The following is a 26,842-nucleotide window of genomic DNA, read 5'->3' as shown; positions in this document are numbered from 1 at the left end:
GAATAGACATTTCTCCAAAGAAGATCTACTTTAAAGATGGCTAAAAAGCACATGAAAAGATGTTCAACAGGCTGGGCGTGGTGGATCACGCATGTAATCTCAGTACTTTGGGAGGCCGAGGCAGGTGAAACACTTGAAGTCAGGAGTTCAAGACCAGACTGGCCAACATGGTGAAACCCCGTCTCTACTAAAAATACAAAAATTAGCTGGGCGTGGTGGCACATGCGTGTAATCCCAACTACTCGGGAGGCTGAGGCAGGAGAATCACTTGAACCCGGGAGGCAGAGGTTGCAGTGAGCCAAGATGGTGCCGCCATTGCACTCCAGCCTGGGCGACAGAACAAGACTCTGTCTCAAAAAAACAAAAAACAAAAAATAAAAAACGATGCTCAACGTCACTAATCAACAGGGCAATGCAAATCAAAACCACAGTGAGGTGTCACCTTACACCCATTATTAGGATGGCTATTATCAAAAGCCAGAAAAGAGAAAATAGCAAGTGTCAGTGAGGATGTGGAGAACCTGGAACCCTCATATATTGTTCATGGGCATGTAAAATGGTGCGACGTTGTGGAAAATAGTATGGCAGCTCCTCAAAAAAATTAAACAGAGAATTACAATAGGATCCAGCAATTTCATGTCTGGGCATATACCCCCAAAAACTAAAAGCAGGGACTTGAAGAAAAATTTGTACATCCATGTTCACAGCAGCATTAATCACTACAGCCAAAAGGTAGGAGCAGCAATGTGTCCACTGACAGATGAACAGATAAACAAAATATGGTCTAGCCACACACGGGCATATTCTTCAGCCATAAAAAGGAATGAAGTTCTGAGACATGCAACAACATGCGTGAACCTCGAGAACATTATGGTCAGTGAAATAAGCTAGACACAAAAGGACAAATGCTCTGTGAGTGGGGAGTGACTGCTGATGGGAACAGACTCTCAGTGCTGCAGGAGGAAAAGAGTTCTGAAGGCGGATGGGGTGATGGTCACTCAACAATGGGAATGCATGTAATGCCACTCAACTGTCCACCTAAATATGGTGAAGATGGTACATTTTCTGTTATGTCTACTTTACCACACAGACATACAGAAGAATAGCTCTGAACTACTGAAAACAAGACTCCAAAGAGCAATGTTTTAGGGGCTGGTGGATTGTTATGGTTCACACATCAGAAGCCTCAAGTCTCTTCCTTTAAAATGTTAGTTATTTGAATCCATTAAAAACCAATATGTGCACCCACGATGTACACTGGGACAAAATCTTAAGCTAAAAATAATATAGGAAAACAGAGATATGTTGTACTGGTGAAATCCAACCACCTTGCCCCACACCACAGGCCCATGGAAGGACAAAGTTGAGCTGAGCTGCCACAGCAAAATAAGGCTAAACTGAAACCTCTAAAGAGATGTGAACTCAGTTCATTCCAAGAGGGCCGAATAGGAACAGCTCCGGTCTGCAGCTCCCAGCGTGATCGACACAGAAGATGGGTGATTTCTGCATTTCCAATGGAGGTACCTGGTTCACCTCGTTGGGACTGGTTGGACAGTGGGTGCAGCCCATGGAGGGTGAGCCAAAGCAGGGCACGGCGTTGCCTTACCCAGGAAGTGCAAGGGGTTGGGGGATTTCCCTTTCCTAGCCAAGGGAAGCCGTGACAGACTGTACCTGGAAAAACGGGACACTCCCGCTCAAATACTACACTTTTCCCACGGTCTTAGCAACTGGCAGACCAGGAGATTCTCTCCTGTGCCTGGCTCGGAGGGTCCCATGGCCATGGAGCCTTGCTCACTGCTAGTGCAGCAGTCTGAGATCCACCTGTGAGGCTGCAGCCTGGAGGGGGAGGGGCGTCCGCCATTGCTGAGGCTTGAATAGGTAAACAAAGTGGCTGAGAAGCTCGAACTGGGCAGAGCCCACCACAGCTCAGCAAGGCCTACTGCCTCTATAGACTCCACCTCTGTGGGCATGGCATAGCTGAACAAAAGGCAGCAGAAACTTTGGCAGACTTAAACGTCCTTGTCTGACAGCTCTTAAGAGAGCAGTAGTTCTCCCAGCATGGCGTTTGAGCTCTGAGAAAGGACAGACTGCTCCTCAAGTGGGTCCCTGACCCTCATGTAGCCTAACTGGAGACACCTCCCAGTAGGGGCCGACAGACACCTTATACAGGCGGGTGACCCTCTGGCACGAAGCTCCCAGAGGAAGGATCAGGCAGCAATATTTGCTGTTCTGCAGCCTCCATTGGTGATACCCAGGGAAACAGGGTTTGGAGTGGAGCTCCAGCAAATTCCAACAGACCTGCAGCTGAGTGACCTGACTGTTAGAAGGAAAACTAACAAACAGAAAGGAATAGCATCAACATCAACAGAAAGGACATCACACCAAAACCCCATCTGTAGGTTACCAACATCAAAGACCAAAGGTAGATAAAACCACAAAGATGGGGAGAAACCAGAGCAGAAAGCCTGAAAATTCTAAAAACCAGCGTGCCTCTTCTCCTCCAAAGGATCACAGCTCCTCGCCAGCAACAGAACAAAGCTGGATGGAGAATGACTTTGACAAGTTGACAGAAGTAGGCTTCAGAAGGTTGGTAATAAAAAACTTCTCTGAGCTAAAGGAACATGTTCTAACCCATCGCAAGGAAGCTAAAAACCTTGAAAAAAGGTTAGATGAATGACTAACTAGAATAAACAGTGTAGAGAAGACCTTAAATGCCCTGACGGAGCTGAAAAACCATGGCACGAGAACTTCATGACATACGCACAAGCTTCAATAGCCAAATCAATCAATTGGAAGAAAGGATATCAGTGATTGAAGATCAAATTAATGAAATAAAGTGAGAAGACAAGGTTAGAGAAAAAAAGAGTAAAAAGAAATGAACAAAGCCTCCAAATAACATGGGACTATGTGAAAAGACCAAATCTACATTTGACTGGAGTACCTGAAAGTGACAGGGAGAATGGAACCAAGTTGGAAAACACTCTGCAGGATATTATCCAGGAGAACTTCCCCAACCTAGCAAGGCAGGCCAACATTCAAATTTAGGAAATACAGAGAATGCCACAAAGATACTCCTCGAGAAGAGCAACTCCAAGACACATAATTGTCAGATTCACCAAAGTTGAAATGAAGGAAAAAATGTAAAGGGCAGCCAGAGAGAAAGGTCGGGTTACCGACAAAGGGAAGCCCATCAGACTAACAGCAGATCCCTCGGCAGAAACCCTACAAGCCAGAAGAGAGTGGGAGCCAATATTCAACATTCTTAAAGAAAAGAATTTTCAACCTAGAATTTCATATCCAGCCAAACTAAGCTTCATAAGTGAAGGAGAAATAAAATCCTTTACAGACAAACAAATGCTGGGAGATTTTGTCACCACCAGGCCTGCCTTATAAGAGCTCCTGAAGGAAGCACTAAACATGGAAAGGAACAACTGGTACCAGCCACTGCAAAAACATGACAAATTGTAAAGACTGTCAATGCTAGGAAGAAACTGCATCAATTAACGGGCAAAATAACCACCTAACATCATAATGACAGGATCAAATTCACACATAACAATATTAACCTTAAATGTAAATGGGCTAAATGCCCCAATTAAAAGACACAGACTGACAAATTGGATAAAGAGTCAAGACCCATCAGTGTGCTGTATTCAGGAGACCCATCTCACGTGCAGTGACGTACATAGGCTCAAAATAAAGGGATGAAGAGAGATCTACCAAGCAAATGGAAAGCAAAAAAAAGCAGAAGTTGCAATCCTAGTCTTTGATAAAACAGACTTTAAACCAACAAAGATCAAAAGAGACAAAGAAGGCCATTACATAATGGTAAAGGGATCCATTCAACAAGAAGAGCTAACTATCCTAAATATATATGCACCTAATACAGGAGCACCCAGATTCATAAAGCAAGTCCTTAGAGACCTACAAAGAGACTTAGACTCCCACTCAATAATAATGGGAGACTTTCACACCCCACTGTCAACATTAGACAGATCAACAAGACAGAAGGTTAACAAGGATATCCAGGAATTGAACTCAGCTCTGCACCAAGCAGACCTAATAGACATCTACAGAACTCTCCACCCCAAATCAACAGAATATACATTCTTCTCAGCACCACATCACACTTATTCCAAAATTGACCACATAGTTGGAAGTAAAGCACTCCTCAGCAAATGTAAAAGAACAGAAAGCACAACAAACCGTCTCTCAGACACAGGGCAATCAAATTAGAACTCAGGATTAAGAAACTCACTAAAAACTGCACAACTACATGAAAACTGAAAAACCTGCTCCTGAATGACTACTGGGTAAATATCGAAATGAAGGCAGAAATAAAGATGTTCTTTGAAACCAATGAGAACAAAGACACAACATACCAGAATCTCTGGAACACATTTAAAGCAGTGCGTAGAGGGAAATTTATAGCACTAAATGCCCACAAGAGAAAGCAGGAAAGATCTAAAATTGACACCCTAACATCACAATTAAAAGAACTAGAGAAACAAGAGCAAACACATTCACAAGCTAGCAGAAGGTAAGAAATAACTAAGATCAGAGCAGAACTGAAGGAGATAGAGACACAAAAAACCCTTCAAAAAAAATCAGTGAATCCAGGAGCTGGTTTTTTGAAAAGATCAATAAAATTGATAGACCGCTAGCAAGACTAATAAAGAAGAAAAGAGAGAAGAATCAAATAGACACAATAAAAAATGATATAGGAGATATCACCACCGATCCCACAGAAATACAAACTACCATCAGAGAATACTATAAACACTTCTATGCAAATAAACTAGAAAATCTAGAAGAAATGGATAAATTCCTGGACACACACATCCTCCCAAGACTAAACCAGGAAGAAGTTGAATCCCTGAACAGACCAATAACAGGCTCTGAAATTGAGGCAATAATTAATAGCCTACCAACCAAAAAAAGGCCAGGACCGGACGGATTCACAGCCGAATTCTACCAGAGGTACAAAGAGGAGCTGGTACTATTCCTTCTGAAACTATTCCACTCAATAGAAAAAGAGGGAATCCTCCCTAACTCATTTTATGAGGCCAGCATCATCCTGATACCAAAGCCTGGCAGAGACACAACAAAAAAAGAGAATTTTAGACCAATATCCCTGATGAACATCGATGCAAAAATCCTCAATAAAATACTGGCAAACTGAATCCAGTAGCATGTCAAAAAGCTTATCCACCACGATCAAGTGGGCTTCATCCTAGGGATGCAAGGCTGGTTCAACATACATAAATCAATAAATGTAATCCAGCATATAAACAGAACCAAAGACAAAAACCACATGATTATCTCAATAGATGCAGAAAAGGCCTTTGACAAAATTCAACAGCCTTTCATGCTAAAATCTCTCAATAAATTAGGTATTGATGGGACATATCTCAAAATAATAAGAGCTACTTATGACAAACCCACAGCCAATATCATACTGAATGGGTAAAAACTGGAAGCATTCCCTTTGAAAACTGGCACAAGAGAGGGGTCCCCTCTCTCACCACTCCTATTCAACATAGTGTTGGAAGTTCTGGCCAGGGCAATCAGGCAAGAGAAAGAAATAAAGGGTATTCAATTAGGAAAAGAGGAAGTCAAATTGTCCCTGTTTGCAGATGACATGATTATATATTTAGAAAACCCTATCGTTTCAGCCCAAAATCTCCTTAAGCAACTTCAGCAAAGTCTCAGGATACCAAATCAATGTGCAAAAATCACAAGCATTCCTAAACACCAATAGCAGACAAACAGAGAGCCAAATCATGAGTGAACTCCCATTCACAATTGCTTCAAAGATAATAAAATACCTAGGAATCCAACTTACAAGGGACGTGAAGGACCTCTTCAAGGAGAACTACGAACCATTGCTCAACGAAATAAAAGAGGACACAAACAAATGGAAGAACATTCCATGCTCATGAATAGGAAAAATCAATATTGTGAAACTGGCCATACTGTCCAAGGTAATTTATAGATTCAATGCCATCACCATCAAGCTACCAATGACTTTCTTCACAGAATTGGAAAAAACTACTTTAAAGTTCATATGGAACCAAAAAAGAGCCCACATAGCCAAGAGAATCCTAAGCAAAAAGAACGAAGCTGGAGGCATCATACTACTTGACTTCGAACTATACTACAAGGCTACAGTAACCAAAACAGCATGGTACTGGTACCAAAACAGAGATATAGACCAATGGAACAAAACAGAGCGCTCAGAAATAACACCACACATCTACAACCATCTGATCTTTAACAAACCTGACAAAAACAAGAAATGGGGAAAGGATTCCCTATTTAATAAATGGTGCTGGGAAAACTGGCTAGCCATATGGAGAAAGCTGAAACTGGATCCCTTCCTTACACCTTATACAAAAATTAATTCAAGATGGATTAAAGACTTAAATGTTAGACCTAAAACCATAAAAACCCTAGAAGAAAACCTAGGCAATACCATTCAGGACATAGGCATGGGCAAGGACTTCATGACTAAAACACCAGAAGCAATGGCAACAAAAGCCAAAATAAACAAATGGGATGTAATTAAACTAAAGAGTTTCTGCACATCAAAAGAAACTACCATCATAGTGAACAGGCAACCTACAGGATGGGAGAAAATGTTTGCAATCTACCCATCTGACAAAGGGCTAATATCCAGAATCTACAAAGAACTTAAACAAATTTACAAGAAAAACACAAACAACCCCATCAAAAAGTGGGCAAAGGATATGAACAGACACTTCTCATAAGAAGACATTTATGCAGCCAACAGACACACGAAAAAATGCTGATCATCACTGGCCATCAGAGAAATGCAAATCAAAACCACAATGAGATACCATCTCACACTAGTTAGAATGGCGATCTTTAAAAAGTCAGGAAACAACAGATACTGGAGAGGATGTGGAGAAATAGGAACACTTTTACACTGTTGGTGGGAGTGTAAATTAGTTCAACCATTGTGGAAGACAGTGTGGCCATTCCTCAAGGATCTAGAACTAGAAATACCATTTGACCCAGCAATCCCATTACTGGGTATATATACCCAAAGGATTATAAATCATGCTACTATAAAGACTCATGCACACATATGTTTATTGTGGCACTATTCACAATAGCAAAGGCTTGGAACCAACCCAAATGTCCAACACTGATAGACTGGATTAAGAAAATGTGGCACATATACACCATGGAATACTATGCAGCCATGAAAAATGATGAGTTCATGTCCTTTGTAGGGGCATGGATGAAGCTGGAAACTATCATTCTCAGCAAACTATCACAAGGACAGATAACCAAACACCACATGTTCTCACTCATAGGTAGGAACTGAACAATAAGAACACTTGGACACAGGGCGGGGAACATCACACACTGGGGCCTGGGGGGTGGGGGCCTGGGGGAGGGATAGCATTAGGAGATATACCTAATGTAAATGACGAGTTGATGGGTGCAGCAAACCAAGATGGCACATGTATACCTATGTAACAAACCTGCATGTTGTGCACATGTACCCTAGAACTTAAAGTATAATAATAATTAAAAAAAAAAAAAGAGAGATGTGACCTTGTAGCCACTGGCCTCACTAATCCTAATCTGAGTATTTTCTTTCCCATATCACATCTTGAAAGGGAGGCCTTACGTTTGCTCCTAGAGGACTCCTGCTTTGCTGTATTTTTTCTAAGAAACACATCCATAATGAAGGTGTGTGCCGCCTCATGTGAAGCGAGAAGAGAGAAGCGAGTTAGCCCAACCTCCTCCTTCCTGCTGGGGAACATTTCCTGGAGGGAAAAGGAGAGAACATTCTGTCTCAAACTAGGGAGAGAGATGAGAGCGTCCCGTCCTTCTAGAAAGAAGTGTGACATCTTTGTAAAGGGGAAAGGTTGTCGGAGCCCCACCCTTGCACAAGGTCCAGTGCAGGAAGCTAGAATGTGGCCACTGAGAGCTCATCCCTTCAGTCCATGGGCAGACAATGCCAGGCAAACTGCCCTTCCCCAAACACCTCAGTAGAGTTTGGCTATCCAAGGAATGCCAAGTAATGTTTCTTAGAACTTTCTTTGGAATCCTGAAATGGGGGCCTAAGCCTTGGATTATAAAAGAGGATTCCCCTATTTCCCATCACCTCATGCCTCATGCTTGGCCTCCTCTGCAGGACTGGGCCAGATGATCAGATGCAAAGAGAAGGATTCACCTGAGGCGGCACACACCTTCATTATGGACATATTTCTTAGAGAAAATACAGCAAAGCAGGAGCCCTGTAGGAACAACAATAAAGCCTCCCTTTCAGAATTCAAAGATGTGATATGGGAAAGAAAATACCCAGATTAGGATTAGTGAGGCCAATAGCTTGGAGGTCATTTCTCTTTAGAGGTGTCACTTTAGCCTTGATTATGCTGGGGCAACCCAGCTTGACCTTGTCCTTCCACGGACCTGCGGTGTCCATGTTTCCACCAGTTGTTTGTTTCTCTATTTACTTTTAGGACAAAAAAAGTCGCCAGCTTTTATTTTGTGGTAGACCTCTCAGAAACCCAGCAGCATGCCTGTGAGCTTAGCTTACGCTGTTCCTCTGCATGGAATACCTTCTCTCTCCTCTCCACGGTGAGTGCCTCCTCTTCCTTCAAGGCCTAGCTGAACTGCCCCCTCTGTGAAACTTCCTCCCCCTCCCCAGGGAAGGTGAGTCGCTTCCACAGCACCTGTTTCTGCTCTCATCCTCACACTCAGCACCCTGTAGGACACCACGAGCCCCTGGAGGCCCAGCAGACAGCCTGGAATGGAAGATGGGTTTGAGTGAATTATCGTGCTGCCGCTGGCCATGAGGCCTTATCTGTAAAACAGCGTCCTTCTTCCCTACCTCAGAGCTACTGTGAGGCTCAAACAAACCCCCAGGGTTAAAGCGGGAGCTGTAACTTGTAAAAGAACCCCCAGGTGTCACCTCATGCATTGATTTCCTCATTCACAAGTTATCAAATGCCAGCCACTACCAGGCAGAAGCTGACAAAGACACACTGCCAACCTTCAAGGAGCCCGCCATCTAGGGTGGGAGACAGGAGCAAGCAAAGAGTCACAGAAGTGCGTTTCCACTCTGATGAGGGCAAGCCCAGAGCACCAATGCAGGCTGCTGGCTCAGGGAAGCCTGCCCCAACTAGGAGATCCCTAAGCTGACTTCAAAAGGCCCCAGAAGAGTGAGTAAAACAGAGCGCATGGTGTCCTGAAAGACATTCCATGGCCAGGGTGGGAAGGACAAAGTGATGGCACAGAGCCAGCATGTTCTTATAACAGTGACAAGCTGTGTCACAGCAAGTGTGAAGCAAGATCGGGAGCAAAGTTGAGAACATGTGGGGGCTGTGTGCCAAGCTAGGGAGTTACAAGGGGGGAAAGATGGTGGAGCCCCTAGAAGTTGGAAGCAGGAGTGAGTGTTGCGACTGGAAAGATCACCTTGGCTGCAGTGCAGGGAAGAGATTTTGGACAAGTCTAAGGCTCCAGGCATGGTGGGCGGGGGGGAATGACAAGAGCAAATCAGAGACAAGAACTACATTTGACTCTTGAACAATGTGGGGGTTAGGGGCACGGAGCCCCGAAGTCAAAAATCCACATATAACTTTTGACTCACCTAAAACTTCACTAATATAGCTTACTGTTGGCTGGAAGCCTTACCAATAATGTAAACAGTTGATGAACAAATATTTTGTACATTACATGTATTACATACTGTGTCCCAGCAATAAATTAAGCTAGAGAAAAGAAAATGTTACTATGAAATCATAAGGAAGAGAAAATATATTTACTATTCACTGAGTGAAAGTGGATCATCATGGTCTCCATCCTCACGGTCTTCCTGATGAGTATGCTGAGAAGGAAGATGAGGAGGAGCTGATCCTGCTGCTCAGCGGTGGGAGAGATGAGAAAAAAATCTGCCTGTAAATGGACTCACAAGGTTCAAACCCATGTTGTTCAGGGGTCAACTGTAATACTGCCTGAAGACCTGCTCAACATCAGGCCACTTTACATATAAGTAGTTCATCCCATTGAGATGCAAAAGTATCCCATCAGGTAGACAGTACTGGTCTCACTCAACAAATGAGAAACAGGCTCAGAGAGGTTAAGCGACTTGCCCAAGGTCACACAGCCTGCACACAGCCTGCGCAGAACTTGTGTTTTTCCCTTGTACTCTGTCAGGCTTCCGATCTGCAGGTTGACGGACTGGGAAGCAAGGTATGGAGGGACATTAAGCTAGAAGGGTTACCAGGGGCAAAACTGGGCAGAGGGATCACAGGCCAGGCTAAGGAGCCCTTTACGGTTCAGGCTCTGAAGGTTTAAGAGCAGGGAGATGCCCTGACCAGGGCCGTTCACTACGAAGATTAACCTGGTAGAGCAGGGAGGACTAGCTAGGTGAGAGCTGGGAAACAGGGGAGCTACTCATCAGTTGTCTAATATGTGCCCCTCTCTGTTCTAGGTCCTGGAGTACCAGTAGTGAATACAACAAAGATGCCTGCCCTCAGACAGCCTGCCTTCTAGTGGAGGGACAACAAAGAGCAAAACAAACAAGCAAAATATACAGTAGGTCAGAAGGGGATAAGAACTGTTGGAAAAAAAAGTAGAGCAAGGTGAGTGGCTTGTTTGTACTGGGGGCTGCAATACTTAAATAGGGTGCCTAAGAGGAGGCAGGCGGAGAGGACAACTGAGACAAAGATGAGAGGCAGGAGTGTGGCTGGCACATGAGGTTCAACCACAAAGCCAGTGTTCTGGGGCTGGAGTGAGCCAGACGAGAGAAGAGTTGTGGAGCGATGGAAGGGGACACGTCGTGCCAAGCTTTGGAGATCACAGTGAGAACTCTGGCTCGTACTACTTGGGGGGATGATGATGACCCAAAAGTCAGGAATCTGTTCACTGCTGAAGAGAGAAGAGGGCAAAGGGCAGCAGCTCCATTTAAAAGGTTCTAATAAGCCTCGGGCCTTTCTCTGTCTGAGAAACTTACTCTCTGCCCTCTGTCTCCCTAGATTACTGCCCCTATGCCTGGAGGAAAAACAGGTGAAGGCTAAAAGCCACGGGGATAGCTAAAGAGGGCAAACTGGACCTCCAGCTCCACTTCTGCAGGTCTATGTCAGTCCACAGCCCTTGCACACGCTCCCTTTTAATTCTCCAAGCATACCTCTCACTTCCAAAACTCCTGTGACTCTGCTGATGAGGGCGTCTCGGCCTGGAATGCTCCTCCTTATCTGCATTGTGTGGGTGTCAAAAAGAGTATATTTTGATGACCTCTCCCCGCCCCTCATGCTCGCTCACATCCCCCTCACTCCTTTCAAAGTCCGTTCCCAAAGGCCCCAGTTCACCGTCCTGGGCTGCTTTTAGCCAGGTAAGATCTAAAGTGATCCTCTCTTGGAACCTGGTCTGGGGCCTATACATCTGGGTCAGTCTAGGGGTGCTCTCGAAGGGCCACCCTCAAAGAGCGAGCCTCGGCTGGATTCAGTTCCTAGGTCCCAGCCGTCCGACCTCTGCGACAACACTCAGCACACCCCTTCCCCTCTCCGGGTCTCAGTTGCCCCGTGAGTACAGTCCCTGCTCCAACACGCAAGGTAATCGTTTCTGGCTGCTCTGATGCACTCGGTCCCTAAACTCAGCCTTAGGTCAACCCAGAAAGCACCCGACCCGGGCGACCCCGTAGCTCCCCACCCTCCCGCACTGCCCAGTCGCTGACACAGGGTGACCTCCAATGGCAAGGCCACGACTCTTACCCGTCCGTAGGCGCCCCCCTGTCTGGCCTCAGCTCGCAAGCAGGCTGCACCCACTGAACTCCAGGCCCGGACCGCCACCCTTTACTCCCCTCCCGCGTGAGCCGAGAATCAGCCGAGCTTCCTCCACCAAGAGGATTGGCCCAGCTCGGCGACGACTCAGCCAATTGGCGCTCACGGCGTGATCTTGCCCAATAAAGACGGGGCTCTGTCGCCAGCGTGCCCCTCCCCGCGCTGGGCCGGGGCTTTGCCAGGTTAGTCCCACCCTCTTCGGCCCTGCACCAATAGGGAGAGGCGGCGACGAGCGGACGGCCAATGGGGAGCGGGGCTGCGCGCGCGGGGCGGTGGGAACGGCGCCGAGTCAGTGTACACGTCGGTTGCCTAACAACCGGCAGCGGACTCCTTTGGCTATGGTGAGTGCTGCCGCTCTGTCGCGCCCCACGCCCAGCGGCTGAGCCCTTCCCAGGCCCCAGCTCGGCCACGCCGCCTCTCCTGCGCCTTTCTCGGCTTTAGCGCACCAGTCTTTCCTTTGAGCTCTTTCCCGGGAGAGTAGGGTACAGACGCTAACCAACCTACTGGGCCTGCGCTTCGCTGCTGCCTCCTCTTCACCCACAACAGGCCCACACCCGCCCCTCGGGCTCCCCTTGCATTCCCTGATCCCCTCGGTGAACCTCCCTGGGCAAAAAAGACTCGAATCCCTCACAGGCCCCTGACTCTCTCAGACCTTGGCCCCCTGGCCTCCTCATTCTGCCAAAATTTCCACACACAGCTGGGAAAAGGTGTATCGTGTTCTGTTACAATGTTTTTTACAATTTAAATACAGGGGCATTCAGGGGATGCTTTAGCTTCTTGGAGAAGGCACGAAGGTGCCAGATGGATTGAGTTTTATTACTCGGTACTGACACAATATACATCTTAACAACTTACTAATATTTGGCCAAATCTAGAAGTAATTGGGAAGTCGGAGTACTTACTGGGAAGGGGAGTACTGGGAGTGGGCATCGTAAGACTGTTTTCAGAACCAGGATCCCCACGTTCGGGAAGAGCTGATTATCTCTAGTTATTCACAGTCATCTTCTTGACTGGCTCTCTTTTGGGATGATTTTCAGTAAGAGGTGTCCTTACTGAACAAGTGATCTCCCTGCTTCTAGAAACAACAGTAAAGAAAAGGGAGGGGTAGAAGTTCATGGAAAGATTCATTGTTCTTGCCAGTAAACCCTGTTATCTTTCTTTTTAAGCAAAGCTTTGGAATTGGTTATATAAATGACTTTAAAAATACATATGGGTGTCTGTAACTATGTTATGTAAATATGGACTGTATGATATATTATTGTGCTTGTGTATTGCATAACATATAAAGGCCTCCAACTTTAAGAAGGCAAACATGGCATCAAGTTCTCAGCGAAAAAGAATGAGCCCTAAGCCTGAGCTTACTGAAGAGCAAAAGCAGGAGATCCGGGAAGCTTTTGATCTTTTCGATGCGGATGGAACTGGCACCATAGATGTTAAAGAACTGAAGGCAAGCTCTGTGCATTCCTGCCGTACTGCCCTTCCTTTCCTCTGCCTCTTCCTTGTCATCTCCCTATCACCTCTCTACCCCTTTTGCCCTCTTCTCCCTGCAGTAAGTAACAGGGGAGGTTGTACTGTGCTGTTTTCCTGTCTTTACTTACTTTGAGTATTATTCAATAAAATTGATTGCAAATATCAATTAGATCAATGTCATAGTGTTCCCCAATCATATTAACATGACCACATCAGATGCTGGCTTAATGCTCTCAACACTGTTATTTTTGCTCCTGCTACTTTAGATGTGCTTATTGAGACGATCCTGTTTTCTTTATAGGTGGCAATGAGGGCCCTGGGCTTTGAACCCAAGAAAGAAGAAATTAAGAAAATGATAAGTGAAATTGATAAGGAAGGGACAGGAAAAATGAACTTTGGTGACTTTTTAACTGTGATGACCCAGAAAATGGTAAGTAGCTAAGACAATTATCATGGTATGGAGCCCCAGTCATCTGCAGAGGTCCATGGCGTCTTCCTGTTAAAACAGTCATGTGACCACAGAGCAGTCCAGGTAGCAACTGCATCAGGAGGCCTGCCCTCCCATCATGTTACTTTGGGCTCCCAAAACAAGCCCTTGTGCTTCTTTCTCAAGACTTCCAAGCAGATACCTCTTCCCACAGAATTCCAAATCAGTTAGGAAATAGATATGGGATAGGGAGAGATATAGCGATAGGTAGCAAACGTCACCTTGGATGGAGTGCCTGGCTTGCCTGGTGTTTCTTTGAGGCCAAAATGGGCTTCCTGACACTTGCCGCAAGTCTAGACTCGAGTTACATTGTTAAAAAGGAAAGGGTGACCTGACCAGGCAGTGGCAGGGCTACAGGACAGTAGTAACCAACCGTGGTGTCCCCCTACTCATGTGTTTTATGTTCTACTTGTTAAGTCTGAGAAAGATACTAAAGAAGAAATCCTGAAAGCTTTCAAGCTCTTTGATGATGATGAAACTGGGAAGATTTCGTTCAAAAATCTGAAACGCGTGGCCAAGGAGTTGGGTGAGAACCTGACTGATGAGGAGCTGCAGGTTTGTAATGCATCACACTGGAACTTAAAATTCCCACCTTTGAGCCCTCTGTGACTTTTCCATTACATTTTCCCTAGTGTGAGCACCTCTTTGAAGAAAAGCCAGTGTACTTTGTCCCTCTGCAGACAACTTAATTCTCCTTTAATAGTCAGACAAACCTATGAACCCTGCTTCCAGAAAAATGCACATATGCACAATTTTGCTTACTATTTTAGGTTCCAGGAATCCCTCTAGTCAAGGCAATCTTCAAGGTCCCTCCCAGGTGATATGTTTGACAAAGTATGAGTTGGTTTTCAAATAACTTTTCAGAAACCAAGCTATTATCAGGAGTAGCATACTGGCATTGGGTGGACTACAATGATCTATTCACATAGATACAAATTATCTATTCACATAGATTAAAAGTCTATTGCTTGCCAGGCACAGTGGATCATGCATATAATCCCAGTACTTTGGGAGGCTGAGGCAGGAGGATCTCTTGTGGCCAGGAATTTGAGACCAGTGTGGGCAGCATAGAGACCCCATCTCTAAAAAAAAAAAAGTCTATTACTTAGTCACCTTTTGGCATTAGTTTATAAATTAACCTGAATCTTTACTGTCATATAGGAAATGATTGATGAAGCTGATCGAGATGGAGATGGAGAGGTCAGTGAGCAAGAGTTCCTGCGCATCATGAAAAAGACCAGCCTCTATTAAGATCAGTGTCTTCTTTTTCTACTGCAAGCACATGTAACTAGATTTAGTGCCTGCCATGGTGTGAAATCTGGCTTTTGAGAACACAAACTTTTCCCCCACGGACCTCCCTTTATCACTTTAATAGTGACCTTGAGCCTATTTTAGCCGTTTGGAAGTGTTCTTTGATATTACAGTTCTTTGTAAAATGACCTGCGAATTACCCTAATTCTCAAAAGCAAAACAAGAGCACACAAGCGTGAAGAAAAGGATCTTAAAGCTTTGAGCACCTGCCATTTTGCCTTGCATCGTTTCCCTCGTCATGCATTTCCACATATCCACAAACACAGAACGACTTTAGACAAGCACATGTTACACCTGTGTTGCCACAAGCAGTCATTCTTGACGGCTCCAGTTTTTATTTGACACTTGAGTTTAGTTTTCTCTTTTATAAACCCAGTGAACTCCTGCACTGGCATTTGGATGTGTGTTAATGCTATTTGTTTTGTCTTAAAAGTAAAACCTTTCTCAGTTTGAACTTGTATTCTCTAAGGATGAGTTCTTTAGCTTTGCTTATGAGTTCCTCTTCTCAATTATTGTGTTGAAGGCAGCCTATTAGATACAAAACTCCTTACCAGCCTATGGACAGAAAATGAATAATCCTTTGCTACTTTCCTGGCATGAATTGCTTTTTGCCTTGGAAGGCTGCTGGTTTGTAAAACTAGCAGAATTTTTATATCACCTAAGCCTAAATGATGCTCTAAAAATAGTTTTGGCAAAGCTAAGACTGGAAAAGAGTCTTGTTAGTAATTTGTGCTTGAATAAAATGGGGAGAGCCAGGCTAACGCAACACTAGGATGGATTCAGCCAACCTCTCGTGAATTTATTTGCTTATGGTATCTCATCGACTCTTGGAGGTGGGTTGGGCTGAGTGACCCCATCCAACCATCTTCCTGGCCTTGCCCGGGATTCCCTGTGTGAGAAATCCTGGTAGATGACATTAAAGTCTCTGCTCCAGGGTGAGAGTGGGGAGGCAGAAGGGGTGAGGGAGAATAGAAAATGAACAATGATGGAATGCTCGTTTGTTCACATGGAGAGGGAGAAAACAGATTTTCAAACTTCTGGGGGTAGGCTAGTCCTCTGGGGATAGGGTTGCCTGATTCAGCTAATAAAAAGAAAGTTGAGGTAAATTTGCATTTCAGATCAATGATGCCTTTTTTTTAGTATGACTATATCCCATTTGTATTTTTTGTTTATTCATTGTTGATCTTAAATGCAAATTTACCTAAGCATCCTGTATTGCCACTGGTAACCCTACCCGGGGAGCACGTTACAGAGGCCAGAAGCCTGGCCCTCGGTCTCATGCCTCTGGACCCTGACATCCTGTAGGACTTGGGGGCCCAGGAATATGAAGTTTACCATATCCCCCAGATGAGTCTCATGCCGAGGGACTGCTCCTTAAGAAAAACTTGGGGGAAGAGCCCAGACTAGCCCAAACCCTGGATTCTCACACACACCCACTTCCTCATCGGGCAATTTGGGGCAAGCTACTTCTCTAGGTGCCTGGAGTTTGATGTCTGTGTGATGGGGAGAAGAGTTGTGCCTACTCAGAATCACTGGAGGTGAAATACAAACTTACAGAGAGGACCTGGCTTGAAGGTATTCAAGAACAAGAGGATTCAGAAGTGTTCAGTCTTACTCCCATTCTTTTGCTACAGTTATCACATAAGCTTTGTTGTTAAATGTGGGTCCATGAAGCTTTTATCATTACTGTCCCCAAAGTGTGTTGATAGCATTTCCTAGGAGGATTTGACCTTTGTTGTATTGTGATTTTCTAATAAGAGGCATATGATTGGATAAAAGACATAATATTGGAAAGGAGTGAAAAGACTGGGCCCTGCCTCCAATTTTACTGTTAACTGTAACCCTGGAAACACTCTTTTGAAAAAAAGTTAATTAAACGAGATCATGTCCTTTGCAGGGACATGGATGGAGCTGGAAGCCATTATCCTCAGCAAACTAACCCAGGAACAGGAAACCAAACACCACTTGTTCTCACTCGTGAGTGGGAGCTGAACAGAGAGAACACGTAGTTACAGGGAAGGGGACAATATACATAGGGGCCTGTCGGTGGCAGTGGGGGTGGGGGTGTGGGGGGAGGGAGAACATCAGGATAAATAGCTAATGCATGTGGGGCTTAACACCTAGGTGATGGGTTGATAGGTGCAGCAAACCACCGTGGCACACGTTTACCTATGCAACCAGCACGTCCTGCACATGTATCCCGGAACTTAACTTAAAAAAAAAAAAACAGTTTCAGGGATAAGGAAAAAAAAGTTAATTAAAAAGAAGTTTTGAAATTGACAACATTGTATATATTTATGGTGTACAATATGATGTTTTGAAAGATGTATACATTGTTGAATGGCTAAATTAAGCTAATGGACTATCCTGGAGACATTCTTATCTCCTCCTGCTTAATATTCCCATAAATGAAATCTCTCAGGAATCTCTTGAGACAGGACGGAGAGTGGCAAGTAATAGGTTATCCCTGAGGATAAAAGCAAACATAAGGTCTTTGCCTGGCAGCCATTCTAACATAGGTGTGCAGTTATTCAGTGGAAGGATGGGGACAGAGAGGGAGCATGAGTCAGTGGGGCTGGACCGGAGAGCTGTAAAGGGATCAGGAAGATGGGGACGGAGAGGGAGCATGAGTCAGTGGGGCTGGACCAGAGAGCTGTAAAGGGATCAGGAAGATGGGGAAGGAGAGGGAGCTGGGCTCAGTTCATGTGGAGGCAGAAAAGAGTCCTGAAGGCGGGGGAGGATGTGGATGGAGAAGTAACTGAGGTCAGTTCACGTGGGGCTGGACCAAGAGATGAAGGGAAATTGCAGAGGATAGGGACAGAGAAGTAGAAAAGATCCGTGCATGGGGTGTCCCGGAGAGGTGCAGGGGAGCAGGGGTAGGGGGAAGGGAGTGAGAGGGAGCAGGGATCAGTTCATGTGAGGATGCAGCTGAGTTTTCATGGGAGTGTCAGTGGGTGGGTTTGTAGAGTTAGTGGCTTATTCATGTGGACAATAGAGTTGTGAGGGAGTGAGGGGAAATGACAGTTCATGTGGGGCTGGCCCAGGAAGCTGGAGGGGGATGAAGTGGCGATGCACACTTAGAGGGAGCAGATGTCAGTTCATGTAGGCTGTACCAAGAGATGCAGAAGGCTGAATGGGATGGCATGGGAGAGGCATTCGAGGCCAGCTCCTGTGCAGCTGCACTGGAGAGATGCAGAGCGTCAGAGAGGGAAAGGAAAAGCCACTGAGGACAGCTTATGTGTGGCTGTATCTGCAGAGGTAGCCGGAGTGTGGGGCAAGGGAAAGGAGAGGGAACGGAGCTTAGTTCACGTGTGGCTGGACCAGAGATGTATGGTGGGGAAGGGGAAGGAAAGGAGATGGAGCTGAGTTCATGTCATGGAGGGCTGGACCAGAGAGATGTAGGGAGAGTGACTGGGTAAGTTCTAAGGGGTGTGAAGGTGGCATATGATTGCATAAAGACATATACTATTGGAGAGGAGTGAAAAGACTGGGCCCTGCCTCCCATTTTGTTGTTAGGGAGGGAGAGGCAGGGTGAGTGGGTTCAAATACCGGTCATTTCAGAGCTGCAGGGGACAGGCAGGGAGACAGAGGTAGCAGGGGTCAGCCCTTGCGGGTGGACCAGAGAGATGGAGGAGTGGGGTGGGTTTGGAATGGAGAGGTAACAGAGGTCAGTTCATGTGGGACTGGACCAGAAGGACACTGGGGAGTGGGAGAAGATCAGAAGTAAAGGGACTGAGGTCAGTTCATGCAGCGTGGGACGGACCAATGTAGGGAGGTGGTGGGGAAGGGGCAGGAGAGAAAGCAGAGGGCAGTTCATGTGGGGCTGGACCAAAGAAATGTCGGTTGCGTGTAGGGATTGGGCTGGAGAGAGGGCAAAGATTCATTCATGTGCAGCTGCGGCAGAGGGCAGTAGTGCAATGGGGGGAGACAGGGCACAGGAGAGAGCAGAGAGCAGTTCATGCGGGGTTGGACTGGAGAGCTGCAGGAGGGTGGGGGTGGAATTTTGAACTAGAGAGGTCAGAGATTGCTTCATGTGAGGTTGAACTAAAAAGTTCAATCAGAGTTGGAGAAAAAGGGGAGGAAGAGGGAGCAGGGGTTCCTTCATGTGGGGCTGGACCAGAGGGATGCCAGAGGAGTTGAGGGGGATGGAAAAGTAGAGGGAGCAGAGATTAGTTCATGCAAAGATGGAGCAAACAGGTGCAAAGGCTTAGAGACATAGGGAGCAAGAGAGGTCATCTCACAATGGACTGGGTACTGGGAAGGAGATTGAGCCCAGAGTTAGTTCATGTGGGGCTGGACCAGAGAGGTAGAGGGGGATGGGGGGGATAAGGGGATGGGGATGGAGAGAGAGCAGAGGTCAGTTGATATGGGGTTGGACTAGAGAGATCTGGCGGGATGGTGGAGAGGGCTAGGGAATGCAGGCCAGTTCCCTGAGGATGGACCAGAGAGCCGGAGGGGAGGAAGGGTAGGGGGACGGAGAGGGAGAATAGTCAGTTTGTGTTTGGTCTTGTGGGCCTCCTTAATAACTTAGGGTTGTGCTAAATTTCCTTGAAAAACCTGTCCAGCAGATTCGTCTTTTCTTTGCTTCCAAGTGTTAGAACTACTGTGAACAGCAGAATTTGTTGGTAGACATGCTCAAGCCTGATATAACGAAATGATTTAAGAAAGGAGGTGGTTCAGTTTCTGTCTCTGTAAGACATGGAACAGCTGCTGGGACTGAGATTTTTTTAAGTTCTATGATGACCGGGAAGAGAAGAAAGAACACATTTTTTACCACTTTTCTTGTTTAACCACCTCTTTAGGAAGCCTAGGAGTTAGACTGTGAGGTTAGACCCAGGTGTCTCAGGGACCACGTGGCTCCCTACCATCCACTGGGGGAAATTTCCTTAAAGTTCAATCTGGCTTTTGAGAATGCTGACCTTTCAAATGCAACCTCAAGTGCCAGGATGTCTGACTGTCATTGGGCCAACCTCAAAACTTGATCTTAGAGCAGCTCTTCCCTTGAGGGACTCCTGCTGTCAAGGATAACTGTATTCCAGGGCTGCTCAACTTTATTTTATGTTTTTGTCACACCTTTGAATACTAGAATTTTGACAATATGCTAGAAGGAAGTAATACACTCAAAACAACAGTTTAACGAGAATTGCAACTTAGTCACTACTCTAGGCCAGTAGGCAGCCCACTATACACTTAGTCACCCTTCAGTTGGACTGGACCGGCTTGCTGTCCAGATGGTGTCAAGTTCCTGCACAGTGCAGAAGCTACCCCTTTTTGAGCTAGCTCCTCCATCACCATTAGTGAGAAGTATCTTACAGCAGGTTGCTCCTTTCTCCACTCCATGTCTCATGACCTGCTTAGTTCATCGTCCTACATGCTGGAAGCCGCTGGAATGGCCACATCTTCAGTTGTAGCAAAAATAGTGCCTCTGCATCAGCTGCAGCTGTGAAGCTGAGACATCATCCTTGTGTGCCATGCTCGGACATATCGGACCCATTTGCTGACCCAAATCTCTGTCAGTAGCCCTCCAAATTCTTATGTGGGTTTGTGGACCCATTTCAAAGAACATCGCCATCAGCACTTGCTGTATCTGGAGCTAAAGTTACCCTCATTTCTAGCTTTTCCCTGCAGCCTCCCAGTCATCTGGTCTTCCAAGCCTCTCCTTAACCACCACCGTTTGCCTTTATCTTTCTGATGCAGTGGTTTAGAGGATTGATGTCATTTTCATTTTCTTTTTTGTCTTTGCCTTATATGTCACCCAGACTTTCCCTACAGTATTCACACTCATCCACCCCTTTCTTTTTCATTTCTGAAGCCACCACCTCAACTCAAATTCAGATTGCTGAAATGTCCTCCTAGCTGATTTCCCTGTCCTGTCTTTTCCCAAGACAATCTGCAGTACTGTCTTTGTCATGCCATTATTTTGCTCAGGGAAGAGACCTAGCCTTTTGATTCAGCCGCCCCTGGTTAAAATCCCAACTCTTCAACCCAGCAGCTGTGGTTTTGGGGGAAAGGATTCAACCCCCTCAAGCCTCAGTTTGCTCATCTAGAAAACAAAGGTGCAGAGAGGTCAAAGACAGCAAACAAAGGCTAGCGTAGAGCCTGATGCCTCTTTGCCACAGATGATGGCTGCTCATTAATTAGCCTGTTTTTCTTTTTCCCTCTGACTTGGACACCGTGTCCTTAATACATGTCTATGTGTGTTTCCCTTCATATAAAGTTAGTTGCTATATATATATGTACTCATGTCTCTGTCATTGTCCCTACTGAAATATTGTCCCCCCATCTTATCCCAAATCTGTGTTCTTCTCCTTGTGAAACTCCTCCTCAGAGCTCCCTCCTTCCAGAAAACTTGTTTTCAAATAGAGGACTGCGTCCCAGCTGGAATTCTGGAAGACAGCAGTCTTGCAGATATGTCCCTTGCCACTAGGTGGGGTGCCAGGACAGAGAGGTTCTGAGGCAGTGCCACTAAATTACCTTGAATTCAGCAGTGGTTTAAGCTGGATCTTCCTAGTGCCCCAAGAGGGCTGTGGTCTCATTTAGCCTTGGAGGGCTGTGGTCTCATCTAGCCTTGGGGTGTGATGGAGATAATGCCACAGTGGGGAGAATCCTGGTGGGGCTGTGGACCCCTTGGAAAAAGTCACCAGGTGTGGGCACTGATGGAATGACAGGTCATTTGAATGGATACCCTATTAAGTCTAGCTATAAGTGAACAAAATGATACATTTGCATTTTTGAGTGTGAGCGATCAAGATTGCTTACCTGCTACATGGGCTCATTGAGACTCCCTAACTACTTTGAACACTTCTCAACAGAAGAGAGCAGGGTGCCTTTGATGTCATCATAGCCGGGCTTTGTGCCTGGTACAATGCTCCATCCATCCATCATCAGGTTTATTAACTTACTAAGTTTGTTGATCCTATAGCAAGGATTTATTAACTCATTAAAAATGTCTAGCATTCTGTGGCTCTTTTTCTTCCTGACCATTATCCCTTGTTATGAGTTGAATTGTGACCTCTAAAATTCATATGTTGGTGTCTTAACTGCTAGGACGTCAGAAGGTGAACTTATTTGGGGGTAGGGTATTTGTGGAGGTAATCAAGTTAGAGTGAGTTTACAACAGTAGGCCTTAATCCAATACAACCAGTATTTCCTTATATCAAATAAATATATAAATAAATACTGGAAATATATACATATATGAATACTGGGAATATACATATATAAATAAACACTAGGAATATATAAATATTTCCAGTATTATAGTGCAAAATATATATATATTTACAGTATTTATTTCCTTATAAAAGGAGAAATTTGGACAGAGACACAGACACGTGTAGAGGGAAGATGATGTGAAGGGACACAGGGCAAAGACAGTCATCTTCATGCCAAGGAGAGAGGCCTGGAACACATCCTTTCTTCACAGCCCTCAGAAGGAGCTCACCCTGCTGACATCTTGATCTTTGACTTCCAGCCTCCAGAACTGCAAGACCATGTAGTTGTGTTGTTTAACTCCTCAGTCCATGGGTACTTTGTTACAGAAGCCACAGGAAGCTCATACATCCTCTCTTTTACTGAAGAACTTTCTCTGTTCCCCTAAGTGTCTCAACCAGAAGTGCACACAGTAATGTTGATGAAACAAAAGCTGAACTTGGAATCTATGCTGCAGAACTCATGACTTCATGGACACTGGATGTGGCCTCTCCTGAGAGATCCATGAGCCCCTGGGTGTGTGCAGCATTGCTACCAGAAAGCTTTCTTCTCAACTTGGAGACTGAACTTGAACATGCACGTGAGTCCATCTCCTTGCGAGATGTTGGATGTGGGGAAATATTTGTGCAATCCCTCATACAAATAGATCCAGAAGGTAAACCAATGATTAAAACTGAGTCAGCAAACCATGGGAACGATGAATAAGCAGAGGCAGGGTGACAGAGCCTCCGGATGTCGTTGGTGGTGGGATTTTCATGTCTAACCTACTATATGTAGTCTAAGAGACATGTTTTCAGGGTGAACGGGGCTATCTGAAAGACAGATGCCAACCTCGTAAGAGGCATCGTGGGGTAGCAGTAAAATGTCTCTAAAGCTGAATTTCTGGGGTTCCACCACTGGCTCTGCTCCTACTAGTGACTAGTGCAAAATGAGTGACCTGTAGCAAGTTACCCAAAGCCCCAGTACCTCGTTTGTTTCATCTGTCAAGAGTGAGGGTGGTATTAATATAATCTACTTCAAGGGCAGTTGTGAGGATTAAATAAGCTACATGACAGTCAATCAATACATATTTGTTGAATGAATACACTAAGAATTTGGCTGCAATCTTCAACTCTAGGGTTAAGGAGTTACATCATTAATCCAAGTGCTGCAATTGAGGAATATACCCTTAGAACAGGAGTTTCTAACCTGGGGCACTTGGATTTCAGGTGTCCATGAATCGCCTGGAGGAGAATTCCTGAAATTTCCTTAAATTCCCTGAAATAATGCACATGTGGCAATTTTCATCAGATTTGTTCAAAGAGTTCACGAGCCAAGATTCACACCCACTGCTCTAGATTTGGACATCATTCTGGGGGGCATGGAGAAAAATATGCAAACCCATAGCATTGTGCCATAGCTCTGTGTGTGTGTGTGTGTGTGTGTGTGTGTGTGTGTGTGTGTGTGTGTTTGGGGGTGGGGGCTGGTTTAGAGATCCTCTGTCCATACAGACATTGGCTGAGTTCAGCCTGCTTCCTGGCCCTTCGGGATTTTTTTCAGTGAGGCAGCTCTAGCATTATTTTTATGCCATGCCTGAGGGCATGAGGCTGCTGCTTCCTTGCTGCTCTGGGGCCTGGGGATCTCTATGACGCTTTCTCTGTCACTATCTAGACATCCCCTGCAATCAATCGCTCCTTGGAGCCTCTGGGATCTAGCAACTTCACCAGCTGTCTGGATTTCCCGCTCTCTCTCCTCCCTCTCCTCCAACTTTTCTTTAGCTTGAAGATCAATCTTCTGGAAGGAAAAATGCCAACAAAAGAGGATTTATTTTCTTCCAAGAAATTGCTCTCACACTTCCTTACACTGACTAAAAGGCATTTTACTTATCTGTCTTCAGCATTTTCTTAAAGCCTCAATTCATTTTCAGCTTTAGCTTTCCCCAGATTAATTATTCGTTAGGATCCACACCATTTCGTATGTGCTTTTTATCCATCACTAGATCTGTCCCCTCCTTCTATCTTTTGCATTTATTCATTTATTCATTTATCCACTCACTCAGCAAATACTTAGCACCTATTCCGATCCAGGCCTTGCAGAGAAAAAAAATAAAGTCCCTGGCCTCGTGGAATTTACATTTTAGTGAAGAAGACAGGAAACAAGCTCAAACAAATAAAGGGGGGTAAGGAGGCGGAAATGGATGGAGGGGGTGCTATTTTGGGGAGGGTGGTCAGGGAAGGCCTTGCCATGAAGCCCTGTAAGGATCTGGGAAAGAGTGCCCAGGCAGATGGAACAGCAAGTGCAAAGGCCCTGAAACAGCAACAGGCTTGGCACAAGTGAGGAACAGTGAAGAAGCATGTGTGGTGGCAGCAGGAGGCAGGCAGTGAGTCAGGCCTCACAAACCCCATAAGGTAAGGGTATGTTCTATGGGGGATGAGGAGTCATCACGGGGTTCTGAGCAGGAAAGAAACCCGAATAGCATTGCCACTGCACTCTCTTTCTCTCCAGTTTGGCCTACACGCTTTTGTTTTTTTCTTAATCTTTCTTGCTTAGAATTTTAACTGCCTATAATGCCCATCCGGACAATTGCTCAAGGCACCAGAGCTTCCTGCTATGGGTTCAGGCTCCCTAAAAGGCCCATATGGCTAGTGTGATGGTTAATTTTATGTGTCAACTGGACTGGGCCACGGAGTGCCCAGACATTTGGTCAGACGTCATTCCCGGTGTGTCTGTGAGGGTGTTTCTGGATGAGATTAGCATTTGAGTTAGGAGACTGGGTAAAGATTGCCACCCATTATGTGGGTGGGCCTCATCCAGGTAGTTAAAGGCCTGAATAGAAAAAAAAGGCCAACTCTCCCCCAAGTAAGAGAGAATCCCTCCTGCTTGAAGGCCTTCAAACTGGGACATTGGCTTTTTCCTGCCTTTGGACTCAAACTGCAGCATCGGCTTCTCTTGAGTCTTGAGCCTGCTGGGCTTTGGACTGGAACTATGTCATCAGCTCTCCTGGGTCTCAGGCCTTCGAACTCTGACTGGAACTACATTATCAGCTCTCCTGGATCTCCAGCTTGCCAACTCACCCTGCAGATCTGGAAACTTGCCAGCCTCCATAACAGTGTTAGTCAGTTCCTTATAACCAACTTGTATATATTTATATATAATATAGACATAGATTTATATTTATAATCTAAATATATATGTTTAAATATGTATATTTATATGTATTATGTTACTCCTTACAAATGTATCTATCTTTCCTATTGGCTGCTGCTCTGGAGAACCCTGATTAACACAGGCAGCAGAGGGCGATCTCTCACCAAACACTGGCTGTTTCCCACGTTCGTCCTGTTGGATAGTTGTTTTCTCTGAAGGGGTGAAAAATCTTCCTCATTCCTTTTTTTTCCAGACAAAAGAAGGTAATTTCAGAGAAAGAGAGAAGCATAAAGAGTTGTTGGCATATGTGATAGGAGAAGTTCAGCTCAGATCAGGCCTGAGACGACCTAGGCAATGCATTCTACATGAGGCAGACACCAAAGTTCTTCTGCTAGTGACTTCAGCCAACACAGCATACTCTTCCTGGAAATCAAAGACCACGTTATAACCAGCAGTACAAGCTAAAGGGCAAAATTTTCGAAGTGGAACTTCTCTAACAGAAAAAAACAACAACAACAGTGGAACAGTTGGAAAGAAGGAAGAAAACTGACAGTGACAGAATGGCTATGTTTCCATTACGCATAATCTTGCATTCACGCACACATAAGAATACAAATGCAAAACAACACAAAACAAAAAGCAGAATGATACAATGGACTTTGGGGACTTGGGGGGATGAGTGGGAGGGGGGTCAAGGGATAAAAGACAACAAATATGGTGCAGCGTATACTGCTTGGGTGATGGGTCCACCAGGTTCTCACAAATCTCCACTAAAGAACTTACTCATGTAACCAAATACCACCTGCACCCCAATAACTTATGGAAAAATAAAATTTAAAAAAAAAGAAATCTGTGTTTGCCCACGTATAATGAAGATATTTTCCTGTGTTTTCTTCTGTAAGTTTTATAGTTTTGTTTTCCATGTTTCGTGTCTATTTCATCTTAATTTTTTGGTGGGTGGCAAAATTTTCCTTCTGAACCCATATGGAGACTCATTTGTTCCAGCATCACTTATTGAATAGTTTACCTTTTCCCAACTGATTTATAAATATATAAAAATTCTGCCATAAAAAAAAATCCATATATGAAAAAAAAAGAACACAAATGCAGAGAACAAGATCAGGAAAGATGCATACCAAATTTTTAACAGTGATTTTCTCTGGAGAGGGGAAGGAGGTTGGACGTGGCTACAGTGAAGTGGATTTTTAAATTCTATTCTGGGTTTGAATTTGTCAGAACAAAATTGTATTCATATATAACATTTATACTTAAAACTGTTCTTAGATACAGCTTCACACATGCTAGGACACGCTAGGACGGCTATAATAAAAAAATAAGGAAAATAACAAGTGTTGGCAAGTATGTGGAATAACTGGAACCTGGATTTATTGCTGATGGGAATGTAAAATGGTGC

The 26,842-nt window shown here is 45.0% G+C and overlaps 2 protein-coding genes across 5 annotated transcripts in view, besides 3 other annotated features; one reads left to right on the top strand and one right to left on the bottom strand.

Annotated features, from left to right (window-relative positions):
• Nucleotides 1–11,808, bottom strand: part of NSDHL (NAD(P) dependent 3-beta-hydroxysteroid dehydrogenase NSDHL) — a 38,667-nt gene extending 26,859 nt beyond the window's left edge. The window contains exons 1-3 of one of the 4 annotated variants that reach the window (NM_001441099.1): nt 11,754–11,808; nt 11,171–11,237; nt 9,807–9,900 (exon numbers count right to left, since the gene is read on the bottom strand). Coding sequence is in view for 1 of the 4 variants with exons in the window: in XM_017029564.2 (XP_016885053.1) it covers nt 8,144–8,148 (5 nt within the window). In the remaining 3 variants the exon portion in view is untranslated. Of the gene's footprint in view, nt 1–8,143; nt 8,272–9,806; nt 9,901–11,170; nt 11,238–11,753 lie in introns of those variants that run through there. The other 3 variants (NM_001129765.2, NM_015922.3, XM_017029564.2) reach the window with 3 other exon arrangements.
• Nucleotides 895–1,068: a silencer, noted in NCBI's record as "fragment chrX:152010347-152010520 (GRCh37/hg19 assembly coordinates)". NCBI's record gives its function as "represses an EF-1alpha promoter that drives an FKBP-Casp9 reporter gene in an ReSE screen in HepG2 liver carcinoma cells and phorbol 12-myristate 13-acetate-treated (for megakaryocytic differentiation) K562 erythroleukemia cells {active_cell/tissue: HepG2 | K562(+PMA)}" and the evidence as "EXISTENCE:reporter gene assay evidence [ECO:0000049][PMID:32094911]".
• Nucleotides 11,875–12,214: a silencer, noted in NCBI's record as "silent region_21058". NCBI's record gives its function as "represses an Ori minimal core promoter by ATAC-STARR-seq in GM12878 lymphoblastoid cells {active_cell/tissue: GM12878}" and the evidence as "EXISTENCE:reporter gene assay evidence [ECO:0000049][PMID:35858748]".
• On the top strand, nt 12,114–15,877 carry CETN2 (centrin 2). The gene is made up of 5 exons (NM_004344.3): nt 12,114–12,163; nt 13,111–13,269; nt 13,594–13,722; nt 14,197–14,334; nt 14,941–15,877. Exons 1-5 carry the CDS (start codon nt 12,161–12,163, stop codon nt 15,028–15,030), a joined length of 519 nt encoding a protein of 172 aa, NP_004335.1. The 5' UTR covers nt 12,114–12,160; the 3' UTR covers nt 15,031–15,877.
• Nucleotides 22,478–23,677: an enhancer, noted in NCBI's record as "P300/CBP strongly-dependent group 1 enhancer chrX:151987738-151988937 (GRCh37/hg19 assembly coordinates)". NCBI's record gives its function as "activates an origin of replication core promoter dependent on BRD2, BRD4, P300/CBP, MED14 and CDK7 cofactors, with strong dependence on P300/CBP, by STARR-seq in HCT116 cells {active_cell/tissue: HCT116}" and the evidence as "EXISTENCE:reporter gene assay evidence [ECO:0000049][PMID:35650434]".

This window comes from Homo sapiens, chromosome X, assembly GCF_000001405.40.
Source record: "Homo sapiens chromosome X, GRCh38.p14 Primary Assembly".
NCBI classification, from domain to species: Eukaryota; Metazoa; Chordata; class Mammalia; order Primates; family Hominidae; genus Homo; species Homo sapiens.
The sequence above is the reverse complement of the archived record's forward strand: the minus strand, read 5'-3'. Positions and strand labels throughout refer to the sequence as shown.

What these genes read in the sequence shown, in the direction of transcription:
- CETN2 (NM_004344.3), top strand. An exon ending in TAGATGTTAAAGAACTGAAG is followed by an intron (nt 13,270 to 13,593) that starts GCAAGCTCTGTG and finishes TTTTCTTTATAG; the next exon opens with GTGGCAATGAGGGCCCTGGG. An exon ending in TGACTGATGAGGAGCTGCAG is followed by an intron (nt 14,335 to 14,940) that starts GTTTGTAATGCA and finishes ACTGTCATATAG; the next exon opens with GAAATGATTGATGAAGCTGA.